The sequence below is a fragment of the Homo sapiens genome, chromosome 14, assembly GCF_000001405.40.
Source record: "Homo sapiens chromosome 14, GRCh38.p14 Primary Assembly".
Taxonomy (NCBI): domain Eukaryota; kingdom Metazoa; phylum Chordata; class Mammalia; order Primates; family Hominidae; genus Homo; species Homo sapiens.
Window position 1 is genome coordinate 51,783,586 of NC_000014.9, and position 15,365 is coordinate 51,798,950.

The 15,365-nt window shown below is 39.7% G+C and overlaps 1 long non-coding RNA gene across 1 annotated transcript in view, besides 1 other annotated feature; it reads left to right on the forward strand.

The window, feature by feature from the left end:
* LOC101927598 (uncharacterized) overlaps positions 1–15,365 on the forward strand; it is a 59,204-nt gene that overhangs the window by 17,770 nt on the left and 26,069 nt on the right. The window contains exon 2 of the long non-coding RNA XR_002957605.2: positions 6,128–6,230. This is a non-coding gene — a long non-coding RNA (uncharacterized LOC101927598). The remainder of the gene's footprint in view (positions 1–6,127; positions 6,231–15,365) is intronic.
* Positions 9,207–9,376: an enhancer, noted in NCBI's record as "experimental_34233 CRE fragment used in MPRA reporter constructs". NCBI's record gives its function as "activates a minimal promoter by MPRAs in K562 erythroleukemia cells, with activity observed for the introgressed 14:52259595 variant allele {active_cell/tissue: K562}" and the evidence as "EXISTENCE:reporter gene assay evidence [ECO:0000049][PMID:34662402]".

Sequence of the window (15,365 nt, forward strand, 5' to 3'; positions counted from 1 at the left end):
CCTGTTATTCCATCTTGGCTGGAAATAGCAGACTAACCAAGGCCTTTAGACCCCAGATACCTGTGCTCTTTCCATAAGAAGCCTCACGTGGGAAAAGAAGGGTCGAGTCTCACCTTTAAACAAAGAAAAAGATTTTATAAAAAGTTAAGTGACACCAGCCTTCAACAAATGCTTAAAACACTGATCCCTAACCCCTAATAACACTGGGTTACTACACACCAATTTAAAAATTCTCAAGTTTTGATTCTCATAGATCAAATCTTACTTTTGTTCAATTCTTTATTGTGTAAAGCCACAAAAAATGTGATCTCATGGCAAATTTACTCATTTGGAGAAGATGGACGGGGTGCTGTTTCCTCTGTAATTCTGATAGTTCCCAAGTGATTTCGTAATACATGAATCAGAGGACGTGGCTATGTCCTCTGTATTTAGACAGAGGAATTCATTTTTCTGATAAATCCCATCGTGTCCCCAAACAGAAAGTGGAATCAAAGACTATGGGATATTGGTGGTTGTAAGCAGAAACCCTAATGATCTACCATATATGCTTAGCTTGACTTCATTAACTTTTTGAAAATGAACCTGCTGGGAAGACAAATCTAATGTCATCCATTAAATAAGAAAAATAAAAATTAAATCATAAAAGTGAATGTGGCTGGCGTGAAAGCAAACAAAATGAAAAATGTTTTATTACACTTCCTTATTTCAAAGCAGCCTTTTAATTAAGATTTCCTCCAACAGCAAAACTAATTTGATAAGTTTATACAGCCAGCACATTTCAATTTACACTTTCAGAAAGTGACTCTTTTTCATTTATAAGGAATTTATGTACAATCTCCAGGAAGGAAATAAGGATAAAGGCAAAGGGGCACACCTCCAAGTGGGATGTGAAGATTCTTCCTGTGCAGGTGGAATAGAGTGAACAGTAACATTTTCCATTTCTTAGACTATATTTTATCCTGTCTGTTTTTCTCATTCCTAGCTATTAGGCTGATGCAAATGTAATTGTGGTTTTTGCATTGTTGAAATTTGACATTTGGTATTGGAATACATTCTTAAATGTGGTTATGTTATACATCATTTTAATGTGCATTTCTTGCTTTATGTTTTTTTCCTAATGACTAATTACTGTTTGAGAAATATTGTTGGAGGCATCAGGCTAGCTCTGGATTTTATCCCTCCTTGGAGTTGTTGATGGCAGTAGGGTTCTGAATACCATTAGCATTTTCAGTTGCCAGTTTCCATGAAAATGGGGCAGCATGAGTTTTATAACTGCTCAAAATATCAATTCAAGCTTTATCTTGATAGCCAGTGATCACTAGAACATATAGTACTGACCCAGCTTCTCGGATCTCTTAGAAGTGACTTAATTACACAATTGAACAGCTGCTAGAATCAGCCAAAGACACAGGGGGAAAAAACAGTTAAAGGAGAAACAAGACAAGATTAATTTCTGGTCTAACTCATTAAGACCTCCTGCTGTCATCTTTTGCCAAACTACTGAGCCTTCAATTTTTTAGAAAATGATCACATACCTCCAGCTACTCTTATTAGTTCTCTTGATTTTGCAGAAATCACAACAACCCCAGAAGTCATTAAAAGCACCCAGAGCATATAATTTGTTCAAAATGGGAAAAGCCTTCCCAAAGAGACAGGACTGGTCCACAGGGCTTTTGCCCTTCTCTCTGATGGTGTTCCCAAATACCTCTTGCACTCTTTCCATTCTTCCCTCCTCCTTCTCCTACTTGCTCTTCTCTCCTCTTTCCATCTTTCTCCCTATCCTTGTCCCCCTCTGGCTGCCATGTTGAGGCTAAAGATGGTGTATCAGGGACATAGATCTACAGCTACTTTCAATGTTCTTATTGAGCAATCTGTATCCATTATCTCACTTAATCCTTACAATAACCTTGAGACAAGGTATTTCTCCCCCTTATACAGGTATAGGAATTGAAGCTTAGTGAGGCTATGTAATTTACCTAAGGTCATTGTACTGGTTATTAAGCCATTTTCTTTCCGTTTCAAACCTGCCCTTTTGTACTCTGCTTTGTGATGCCGAGGTGGGGATTCTGCAAACCACATTTCTGTATGGTCAGCTGGCTGGTGTTTTGTTGGCATGCCAGAAGGACAGTGAGGCTGGATGAGGGAGAGGAGACTTGCTCCCTCCTATTTGCCTCCTGTTTCTGCCTGCATCATCTCAATAATGGTTTTTCACCTCAGCAACAGCCGTTTTCTTTCTTTTTAAACTTTTATGTTTGAGGGTACATGTGCAGGTTTGTTATATAGGTAAACTCATGTTAGAGGGCTTGTTGTACAGATTATTTCATTATCCAGGTACTAAACCTAGTATGCAATAGTTCCTTTATCTGCTCTTCTCCATCCTCCCACCTTCTACCCTCAAGGAAGCCCCAGTATCTGTTGTTCTCTTCTTTGTGTCCATGAGTACTCATCATTTAGCTCCCACTTATAAGGGAGAACATGTGGTATTTGGTTTTGTATTACTGCATTAGTTTCCTAAGGAAATTAATCCATCCATGTTCCTGCAAAAGATGTGATCTCATTATTTTTTAAGGCGGCATAGTATTCCATTGTGTATATGTACTACATTTTCTTTATCCAATCAGCAATCATTTTCTACCCTCCTGGAATGAACTCCTCAGAAATACCAGCACCAGTCCACTGGCACCTACTCCCCAGAAATCCAGGTCCCAATTATGAAGGGTTTCTACTCCAAGCCTCTAGGTTCTAATAACTTCATCCTCTTCTCTTTCCCCTTGCCTTTGTTGGAAACAAGTGCTCGGCACCACAAAGAAGAACCAGCACTCAGAGTTTCTCAGCAAGGCAACTTTACTTCTGCAGAAGGGTGCTGCTTACATCCATCACAATTGCAAGAGCACACCGAACAAAGGAGAGAAGGGATTTGTATCCCTAAAGCAGTTCCTGTTTCTGTGTCCTTCCCCCTATTGGCTGGGGCTGGACCGCACAATGTAAGCTGATCATGATTGGCTAAGACTTGAACTTTTCCAAACAGGGTAAATGCACAATTTGCAGGAAAAGGAGGAAAAAAAAGGAGGCAAGAGAAGAAGAGGGTAGGGATTTACAACCTTGTAAATTATGACCAGGAAGTTGAGTCTTTGAAGAAGAACTTAGTTATTCCAACACCCTAGGGGCAGTAGCTGCTTCCTGAAGTTATGATCTCTTTGGTGGCCCATGGTCCCCTTTTTGTCTCCAATACCAATTTAACCAATTCCCTCTATGAAGGTCTTTTCTGTGAAATTACTGGCTTGATTTCTGTTTTTCTGACTAATAACACACAGGAGAAGTAGGATTAAAAAATGAATATGTCTGACTCCAAATCCAGGCCCTAAATTCCTACTCTTCCCCCAATTTGCAGCCTGGCACTCAAACAACACTTTAAATCAAGTATAATTAGGAACTCAAAGTTATGTTCTTTGCGTGCATTCCTTGGGGAAAGCCTTAAGCATTGTCATATTGGTGATAAACATTCTATCCACTGTCAAATGGCTTTGAAAGACCTGACATGACAGAAGTAGCATCAGCCAAGTAAGATGGAACTCTGATTAACATATTCCTAGAAAGATCACAGAGGGTGCATGCAGGCCTGGAGCAGCAGGTGGGTGCAGAGCCAGCGTGGCTATAGGCTGTGAGGCAGCAGAAAAACAATCATGTTTGCTGTGTGGAGAGTAGATTGGAAAAGAGGAAGAAGTGGGAGTCTGCATGGAAAACTGTTGCAGAATCCCAGGATGCTTCCAAACCAGTCCCTGGGGGCCAACCAGAGCACAGACTGACCAGGTACCTGGGTGGAGACCTTAGCTGGGAGAAGGGGCACCTGGAAGGAAATTACAGAGGAAATCAACATGGAACAGAAGCCCCAGGACAGCAGGAGAGGCCTCACCTGCCGAGAGGTGCCCCTGGCGGCCAGGCTGCTGCTGGCCATGGCCCTCATGGATGAGTGGTTCTACCTCTGCCCTGACCACTTCTTCATTGCCTCTTGATGGTCCATGGCAGATGCCAGGCACTGTCCCTGTGGCCACTTCAGGATAGGACAGAGTCAAAAACCGCTCACTTGGGCTGCCCTGTGAGGAGCTGATAACAGAAGTGAGGCAGCTGAGCTGTGTCGGGGAAGGAGCTGTGAAGAGGATGAGCCTGGGCTCACTTCTGGTCACTGTCGTGGTGTTATTCCACTTAACACAGTGTCCTCCAGCTCCACCCGTGCTGCCACGAATAACAGAACTTTTCTTTGTAATTGATAAAGAGTACCCCATTGCATCTATGTACCACATTTTCTTATCCATTCATCTGTTGATGGACACTGTGATTGATTGTATATCTTGGCTATTGTGAATAGTGGTGCAGTAGGCATAGAGTTCAGTTTGTGGGAAGCAGCCTGCCACCCAGTGTTAGGAGCCTTGTCCGCTCTATGTTTCTATCTTTGAACTCAATAATCTCAGGTCTGGGACTTTATCCTAATAAAATAATCCAAAGGCAGGAAAAAAGCCAAATGCAAAAAGGAACGCTATAGTGATCAAAAATGAGAAACAATAACTTTAGGGGACTAGTTTATCAAATTAGGGTCCAACCACTTGACAGAATATTCTGCAGCCATTGCGTAGTTAGGAACCCATGTGGTAACATGAAGAAAACCTTATGATGATAAGTGAATACAACAAGATACAAAATTGTATGCTATACTATTTTCAACTGCAAAATTCTACATTTATGTAGAAAAATACAGAAATGATAGAAATTGTGCTAGGGTGAAAGGGAAATGATGGACAATTTTTTTTCCTGTTTTTAAAACTCTATGATGGTATTATACTGATTCTTTAAAAATTATTTCCAATTGACACATAATAATTATACAGATTTAGGGGATACATACTGATGTTTCAATACATACTATGTGTAGTGATCAGATGAGGACATATCCATCATCTCAAACATTTATTGCTTCTTTCTCTTGGGAACATTCAGTTCTGTCTCTGCTAGCTATTTGAAAGTATATAGCCAGAGTTTTTCCTGTTTTTAAAACTCTATGATGGTATTATACTGATTCTTTAAAAATTATTTTCAATTGACACATAATAATTATACATATTTAGGGGGTACATACTGATGTTTCGATACATACAATGTGTAGTGATCAGATGAGGACATATCCATCATCTCAAACATTTATTGCTTCTTTCTCTTGGGAACATTCAGTTCCGTCTCTACTAGCTATTTGAAAGTATATAGCCAGATCATGCCTGTAATCCCAGCACTTTGGGGGGCCGAGGTGGGTGGATCATGAGGTCAGGAGTTCAAGACCAGCCTGGCCAAGATGCTGAAACCCTGTCTCTACTAAAAATACAAAAATTAGCTGGATGTGGTGGCACGCACCTGTAAGCCCAGCCACTTGGGAAGGTGAGGCAGGAGAATCGCTTGAATCCAGGTGGCAGAGGTTGCAGTGAGCTGAGAGTGCACCATGGCACTGCAGCCTGGGCAACAGAGCAAGACTCTGTCTCAAAAATAAAAATAAAAAAAAATAAGGTATATAATACATTGTTAACTCTAGTCATCCTGTGGTGCTATAAAACACTAGAATTTGTTCCTCCTATCTAGCTGTAATTTTGTGTCCTTTAACAAATGTCTCCCTATCCTGCCTTTCCCCTACCCCTCCCAGCCTCTAGTAACCTCTGTTCTGCTTTTCATATCTGAGTAAACTTTTTAAAATTTCTACATATGAGTAAGAACATGAGGTGTTTAACTTTCCGTGCCTGGCTTATTTCACTTAACATAATGTCCTCCAGTTCCATCCGTATTGCTGTGAATGACAGGATTTCATTCTTTTTAATGGCCGAATGGTATTCCATTTTGTATATATACCACATTCTCTTTTATCCATTTGTCTGTTGATGAATACTTGGGTTGATTCCATGTCTTGGCTATTGTGAACAGCACTGCAATAAACATGGGGCGCACATTTTTAAAAATCACAAAATTGACATATTTGCAAGTCAAAGATGTAATGGGAACTTAGCTCTCTGCATTTCTGCTGGAAATCTAATTTCTCTAAAAGCAGAACATGCATTTTTGACCTTGTCTTACTAATCATTTTATTTTGCAGAAGGAAGAGGAAGAAACAAAAGGAACTTCTCTCTTAGATTTAATTCTGACCTACCAGGAAGAACTGGATTGTTGAAGCAGAAGTACTGGAGTCTCTGGAGCTAGTGAGTCAGAGAATGTCTTTCACAGCAGGGATTAAAATGCCCAATGAAAACCTTTCTGGAAAGGCTCTGATGTGGGTTCTAAATGGGTACACAGTTCTCAGAAGGTCAGAGGAAATTACAGTTTGATCCCATAATCAAATAATCTGAAAGAGAAGACAGAATGAGAGGGATGGGAGGATCTCCAAAATGAAATCCCGAGAACAAAAGAGTATGAATCTTGATAAGAAGTAAAAGAGTTTGGCTTCAAAAATACCAGTGTGACTAGCAGAGAGCAATTTAATGAGTTTAATTTGTCAAAGGACTGGGCAATAAATGGAAGAAGTTTACGGCAGATAATCTGTGAATGTCTCTTTGTTCCAGGAGCTCTCTAGAAGTGAACAACCCAAGCTGCTTATACTGTAGTGGAGGAGACAGACAATAAACCAATAAATAAGCAACAAACCAATACATATAGGAAGTATGACAGGCAGTGGTAAGCACAATAACATGATATGTGTGTGTTGAACCAATTGAAATTGACAATATTTACCCTTTTTTTACCTACAAAAATGGCAATTTCAGGCCAGGCGCCATAGTTCACGCCTGTAATCTCAGCAGTTCAGAAGGCTGAGGTGGGAGGACTGCTTGAGCCCAGGAGTTCAAGACCAGCCTGGGCAACATAGAGAGACCTCATCTCTATTTTTTTTTAAATGGCAATTTCTTTTTTCTTTTTTTTTTTTTTTTTTTGAGATGGAGTTTTACTCTTGTCACCCAGGCTGGAGGGCAATGGTACAATCTTGGCTCACTGCAACCTCCGCCTCCTGGTTCAAATGATTCTCCTGCCTCAGCCTCCCAAGTAGCTGGGATTATAGGCACCCACCACCATGCCCAGCTAATTTTTGTATTTTTAGTAGAGACGGGGTTTTACCATATTGGTCAGGCTGGTCTCGAACGCCTGACCTCAGGTGATCCACCTGCCTCGGGCTCCCAAACTGCTGGGATTACAGTCATGAGCCACCGAGCCTGGCCTTAAATGGCAATTTCATTTGATACAACTTACTATATTGTTAGAAGGGTGAGATTTGACACAAGGAGTGAGAGGCGACCTCTCAGAGAGTGGCATATGAGCAGAGACCCAAATAAAGTGAGGGAATGAGGCACATGCAAACTGTGGGAAGCGTGATACAGTATTAGGGGAAAGCAAGTTTCAGGAATGTGGGATGGGAATGCTGGGTGTATGTGAGGAACATCCAGAGGTCCAGCATGGATACAGTAGAGGGACTGGGACAAAGAAGTGTAGGAGGTGAGACAAGAGTGGCTGCCAGGAACAGGTCCAGAGGGCCTTACGTGACCTGCAGGTCATGACAAAGACTTCAGGTTTTTTTCTGGGAATAAAATGAGAAGCCCTTAGAGAGATGAGGACAGGGGTGATTTGACTGGATTAATATTCTCAAATCCTGGAAAGCCTGTGGAGATGAGACTACAAAGGACCCAGTGAGGAAGCCCTGCAACCATTTATGGGACCAGTGCAGGAATCCAGGAAAGATCTGATAGTGACATGGGAAGGTTGTTAGCAGTGAAGGAGGTGAGAAATGGTTGAGGCTTTAGGCTGTATTTTGAAGGTAAAAGTGACAGGACTTGCAGATTGAATTAGACATAAGAGTGGAAAAAAAGGAATCCAAGATGACAATAAGAATTTTGGCCTGAGGTACTAGATAAATGGTGGAGCCATTTACTGAGCTAGAAAGAGAGGAAAAGGTAAACATTTACTTAGGTAGAAAAGAATCAAAAGTTTGATTTTAGACATATTGACTCTAACATTCTTCTCAAGCATCCGATTTGAGATAGTGTGTAGGCAGTTGGATCAACAAATTTAGAATCAGAAAAAGAAGACAGGAGACATACATTTGGGAGTTATTAGCATACAGGTTTATTTAATGCATGGGACTGGTAGAAATTACCTGGGAAATGAGGTCAGCTAGACCATAGAAGAGGTCTTGGGACAGAATTCCAGGGCCCTCCAACCTTGAGAAGCTGTGGGGAAGGGGATCCAGTGCAGGAGGCTCAGGAGGAGGTGGCAGTGAGGACAGAAGGAAATCACATCAGTTCTGACTCCAACTCCCAGTTCTTGCCACAGCCTTCTTAGGAAGAGGAATCTGTCAGAAGGCATGGGGGAAGCTAGGGAAGGACCCACAGGAAACTCCTACTATAGCATCAATTCAAATAAACATGAGGGCTCAACTCTAGAGAGCCCCATCCACAATGAGAATGAACCCCTGAACTACCCCCACCTCTTCCACCTCCTCTTCCTCACTCCAAGTGACAAAATGGTCAGTTCTCCAAACCAAACATGATCAAGTCTGTCAGCCCAGTTATTTGAGGTATTAAAAAACCTCTTGTCTTTCAACTGGCCACAACAATTATCACTAACAAATCCTAATCAAATGCTCATCATTTTCTGGAAGGTCCTTAGAAAGCAACTTACCTCCCAGGGTGTGAAAATGTCTGAGTACAAGGAAAGCCAGAGGATAAATTCTTGGAGGGGGTGTTGGCAAAAGTACTAAAAGACTAAAGACAAAATTAATCCGGGGACAGCAAGAGGACGAAAAACAGGAGAATCCAACTAGATTATAAAAAATGAGTAACTTACAAATAGAGGGCCATTTTGGGCAGTTCTGTTTGGGGACTTTCTCTAGAATACATGGCTGCTTAGAAGAATAAGAGACTCACAGCAAAAGAGGGACCAATTAGGTACGTGCCAATCACAACTGCCTCCTGATTCAGGGCATTTTCACCAATTGCAAATTATAGTTTTCATTCTAAGTATCTCTGGAAATGGATAGGTAGGTAGGTAGACAGATAGATGATAGATAGATAGATAGATAGATAGATAGATAGATAGATAGATAGACATAGAAAAATAGATAAATGCTGGTCCTGAAGTTTATACAATTTGTATAAAAGCTATTCAGAATTGATGGGTTTAAAATTTAATATTTGCCTTGTGCATTGCTGGTAGGAATGTAAAACAGTGCCATTGTTGAGAAAAACAGTAGGGCAGCTCCTCAAAAAATTAGCCATGGTATTACCACACAATCCAACTATTCCATTTCTGGGTATGTAGCCAAAAAAAGGGAAAGCAGAGCCTTGAAGAGATACTTGTATACCCATGTTCACAGCAGCATTATTCACAACAGCCAAAACATGGAAGCAACCCAAATGTCTAGTAACAGATGAATGGATAAACAAAACATGGTATATTTATACAATGAAAAATTATTCAGCCTTAAAAGGAAAGGAAATTCTGACACATACTACAACGTAGATGAACCTTGAAGACATTATGCTAAGTGAATTAAGCCAGACACCAAAGGACAAATACTGTATGATTTCACAGACGTGTGGTACATAGGTTAGACAAATTCATTTTCATAGAGCCAGGAAATAGAATGCTAGTTGCCACGGGTAGCGGGAGGGTGGGTAATGAGAAGTTATTGTTACTAGGTACAGCGTTTCAGTTTAGGAAGATGAAAAAGTTCTGGAAATGGATGGTGGTAGTGGCTGTACAACATTGTGAATGTAATGTCACTGAATTGTACACTTAAAATGGATAAAATGGCTTTTGAAATGGCGATCAAAGATTATACAATTAAGAAAGATTGCTCATTAGGCAATGATGTCTCTGAAAGAATTATTAAGATTGCTTAGCTGGAAACAAAAATTACATTAACATGAAAGAAGCTGCCTTTTTAAAAAAGTACAGAGGTATGTGTATGTGAAAATTGATGTATACGTGTCAGCACATAACCATTTTTGTGTGGATTACCTTCAAGATTTTCTATTTCTTCCCTTTGTATATGTGAGAGCTATAAATTCATCAATGAAAAATGATAAATCTCAATATAATTCTGATAGCTGGAGGATAGTGTATTTTCAGGTTTGCTGGAGGAAAAAAACTGGACTTTAAATAATTAAGCCAAAATAATTGTATTAATTAACTTCTATCCTTAATCACTAATTTCATTTTTTATATTTCCCTTGACTTTTGGGGGAGAAATAGTCTTTGTCTCAAAAGTGGGCTTTAGTGACCTATGGGTTTGATAAAGCAACCAGAGATAACGAGACACAAGGATATTTAAATGGCAACATGCCAGCAATTATTATTAGTTAATTGGAAGCTTTTATGATTTTGGCCTGGGGCCAATGCTTTTCCCCTCTGCTGGGCTATAAAGTGGGTAAGGGAGAGGAAAAGCTTTGTTTCACTTTTTAAATAAAAGTATTAAGTAACTTTGAAATTTTTATAAAATTAAAAGATAGTAAAAACAACTATTCTAACTGAATTCAAAACCTGTTATGCTTCAGTGGAGAGATTATTCAAGACAAGTCCATTTGAAATTGGGAGTAAATTTCTACTGGTGAAGTTTGTCAGTGATAGCTATGCACTTCTGACAAAATACGAAATGGGGGGTATGGGCATGTCATATCATCATGGTGCAGATACGTGGATGTGTGCTTCCAAACAATGGCAACCTAACTCACTGTGTTGGAACCATATAAAATATCTGAGACTACTCAAAAAGAAGGTGAAAATTGTATGCAAAAATATATTTGAAAAATATTGAGCTAATATAACACGAATGGGGAATTATACGTGAGGTATTGTAACTCATCTACAGATGTGTTTTTTGTAATCAATATTTACGGACTCAGACTACACTATAAAAGCTTACATAGAAATCATGCTATATAAACTTTCCAAATATGAAAGTAACATATGTGTTTTACTACTGTATCTTTTTTTTTTTGTTTTGTTTTTTTTAATTATATTTTAAGTTTTAGGGTACATGTGCACATTGTGCAGGTTAGTTACATATGTATACATGTGCCATGCTGGTGCGCTGCACCCACTAACGTGTCATCTAGCATTAGGTATATCTCCCAATGCTATCCCTCCCCCCTCCCCCAACCCCACCACAGTCCCCAGAGTGTGATATTCCCCTTCCTGTGTCCATGTGATCTCATTGTTCAATTCCCACCTATGAGTGAGAATATGCGGTGTTTGGTTTTTTGTTCTTGCAATAGTTTACTGAGAATGATGGTTTCCAATTTCACCCATGTCCCTACAAAGGACATGAACTCATCATTTTTTATGGCTGCATAGTATTCCATGGTGTATATGTGCCACATTTTCTTAATCTAGTCTATCATTGTTGGACATTTGGGTTGGTTCCAAGTCTTTGCTATTGTGAGTAGTGCCGCAATAAACATACGTGTGCATGTGTCTTTATAGCAGCATGATTTATAGTCCTTTGGGTATATACCCAGTAATGGGATGGCTGGGTCAAATGGTATTTCTAGTTCTAGATCCCTGAGGAATCGCCACACTGACTTCCACAATGGTTGAACTAGTTTACAGTCCCACCAACAGTGTAAAAGTGTTCCTATTTCTCCACATCCTCTCCAGCACCTGTTGTTTCCTGACTTTTTAATGATTGCCATTCTAACTGGTGTGAGATGATATCTCATAGTGGTTTTGATTTGCATTTCTCTGATGGCCAGTGATGATGAGCATTTTTTCATGTGTTTTTTGGCTGCATAAATGTCTTCTTTTGAGAAGTGTCTGTTCATGTCCTTCGCCCACTTTTTGATGGGGTTGTTTGTTTTTTTCTTGTAAATTTGTTTGAGTTCATTGTAGATTCTGGATATTAGCCCTTTGTCAGATGAGTAGGTTGCGAAAATTTTCTCCCATGTTGTAGGTTGCCTGTTCACTCTGATGGTAGTTTCTTTTGCTGTGCAGAAGCTCTTTACTTTAATTAGATCCCATTTGTCAATTTTGGCTTTTGTTGCCATTGCTTTTGGTGTTTTGGACATGAAGTCCTTGCCCACGCCTATGTCCTGAATGGTAATGCCTAGGTTTTCTTCTAGGGTTTTTATGGTTTTAGGTCTAACGTTTAAATCTTTAATCCATCTTGAATTGATTTTTGTATAAGGTGTAAGGAAGGGATCCAGTTTCAGCTTTCTACATATGGCTAGCCAGTTTTCCCAGCACCATTTATTAAATAGGGAATCCTTTCCCCATTGCTTGTTTTTCTCAGGTTTGTCAAAGATCAGATAGTTGTAGATATGCGGCATTATTTCTGAGGGCTCTGTTCTGTTCCATTGATCTATATCTCTGTTTTGGTACCAGTACCATGCTGTTTTGGTTACTGTAGCCTTGTAGTATAGTTTGAAGTCAGGTAGTGTGATGCCTCCAGCTTTGTTCTTTTGGCTTAGGATTGACTTGGCGATGCGGGCTCTTTTTTGGTTCCATATGAACTTTAAAGTAGTTTTTTCCAATTCTGTGAAGAAAGTCATTGGTAGCTTGATGGGGATGGCATTGAATCTGTAAATTACCTTGGGCAGTATGGCCATTTTCACGATATTGATTCTTCCTACCTATGAGCATGGAATGTTCTTCCATTTGTTTGTGTCCTCTTTTATTTCTTTGAGCAGTGGTTTGTAGTTCTCCTTGAAGAGGTCCTTCACATCCCTTGTAAGTTGGATTCCTAGGTATTTTATTCTCTTTGAAGCAATTGTGAATGGGAGTTCACTCATGATTTGGCTCTCTGTTTGTCTGTTGTTGGTGTATAAGAATGCTTGTGATTTTTGTACATTGATTTTGTATCCTGAGACTTTGCTGAAGTTGCTTATCAGCTTAAGGAGATTTTGGGCTGAGACAATGGGGTTTTCTAGATAAACAATCATGTCGTCTGCAAACAGGGACAATTTGACTTCCTCTTTTCCTAATTGAATACCCTTTATTTCCTTCTCCTGCCTGATTGCCCTGGCCAGAACTTCCAACACTATGTTGAATAGGAGTGGTGAGAGAGAGCATCCCTGTCTTGTGCCAGTTTTCAAAGGGAATGCTTCCAGTTTTTGCCCATTCAGTATGATATTGGCTGTGGGTTTGTCATAGATAGCTCTTATTATTTTGAAATACGTCCCATCAATACCTAATTTATTGAGAGTTTTTAGCATGAAGGGTTGTTGAATTTTGTCAAAGGCTTTTTCTGCATCTATTGAGATAATCATGTGGTTTTTGTCTTTGGCTCTGTTTATATGCTGGATTACATTTATTGATTTGCGTATATTGAACCAGCCTTGCATCCCAGGGATGAAGCCCACTTGATCATGGTGGATAAGCTTTTTGATGTGCTGCTGGATTCGGTTTGCCAGTATTTTATTGAGGATTTTTGCATCAATGTTCATCAAGGATATTGGTCTAAAATTCTCTTTTTTGGTTGTGTCTCTGCCAGGCTTTGGTATCAAGATGATGCTGGCCTCATGAAATGAGTTAGGGAGGATTCCCTCTTTTTCTATTGATTGGAATAGTTTCAGAAGGAATGGTACCAGTTCCTCCTTGTACCTCTGGTAGAATTCGGCTGTGAATCCATCTGATCCTGGACTCTTTTTGGTTGGTAAACTATTGATTATTGCCACAATTTCAGAGCCTGTTATTGGTCTATTCAGAGATTCAACTTCTTCCTGGTTTAGTCTTGGGAGAGTGTATGTGTCGAGGAATGTATCCATTTCTTCTAGATTTTCTAGTTTATTTGCGTAGAGGTGTTTGTAGTATTCTCTGATGGTAGTTTGTATTTCTGTGGGATCGGTGGTGATATCCCCTTTATCATTTTTTATTGTGTCTATTTGATTCTTCTCTCTTTTTTTCTTTATTAGTCTTGCTAGCGGTCTATCAATTTTGTTGATCCTTTCAAAAAACCAGCTCCTGGATTCATTGATTTTTTGAAGGGTTTTTTGTGTCTCTATTTCCTTCAGTTCTGCTCTGATTTTAGTTATTTCTTGCCTTCTGCTAGCTTTTGAATGTGTTTGCTCTTGCTTTTCTAGTTCTTTTAATTGTGATGTTAGGGTGTCAATTTTGGATCTTTCCTGCTTTCTCTTGTAGGCATTTAGTGCTATAAATTTCCCTCTACACACTGCTTTGAATGCGTCCCAGAGATTCTGGTATGTGGTGTTTTTGTTCTCGTTGGTTTCAAAGAACATCTTTATTTCTGCCTTCATTTCGTTATGTACCCAGTAGTCATTCAGGAGCAGGTTGTTCAGTTTCCATGTAGTTGAGCGGCTTTGAGTGAGATTCTTAATCCTGAGTTCTAGTTTGATTGCACTGTGGTCTGAGAGATAGTTTGTTATAATTTCTGTTCTTTTACATTTGCTGAGGAGAGCTTTACTTCCAACTATGTGGTCAATTTTGGAATAGGTGTGGTGTGGTGCTGAAAAAAATGTATATTCTGTTGATTTGGGGTGGAGAGTTCTGTAGATGTCTATTAGGTCCGCTTGGTGCAGAGCTGAGTTCAATTCCTGGGTATCCTTGTTGACTTTCTGTCTCGTTGATCTGTCTAATGTTGACAGTGGGGTGTTAAAGTCTCCCATTATTAATGTGTGGGAGCCTAAGTCTCTTTGTAGGTCACTCAGGACTTGCTTTATGAATCTGGGTGCTCCTGTATTGGGTGCATAAATATTTAGGATAGTTAGCTCCTCTTGTTGAATTGATCCCTTTACCATTATGTAATGGCCTTCTTTGTCTCTTTTGATCTTTGTTGGTTTAAAGTCTGTTTTATCAGAGACTAGGATTGCAACCCCTGCCTTTTTTTGTTTTCCATTGGCTTGGTAGATCTTCCTCCATCCTTTTATTTTGAGCCTATGTGTGTCTCTGCACGTGAGATGTGTTTCCTGAATACAGCACACTGATGGGTCTTGACTCTTTATCCAACTTGCCAGTCTGTGTCTTTTAATTGCAGAATTTAGTCCATTTATATTTAAAGTTAATATTGTTATGTGTGAATTTGATCCTGTCATTATGATGTTAGCTGGTGATTTTGCTCGTTAGTTGATGCAGTTTCTTCCTAGTCTCGATGGTCTTTACATTTTGGCATGATTTTGCAGCGGCTGGTACCGGTTGTTCCTTTCTATGTTTAGCGCTTCCTTCAGGAGCTCTTTTAGGGCAGGCCTGGTGGTGACAAAATCTCTCAGCATTTGCTTGTCTATAAAGTATTTTATTTCTCCTTCACTTATGAAGCTTAGTTTGGCTGGATATGAAATTCTGGGTTGAAAATTCTTTTCTTTAAGAATGTTGGATATTGGTCCCCACTCTCTTCTGGC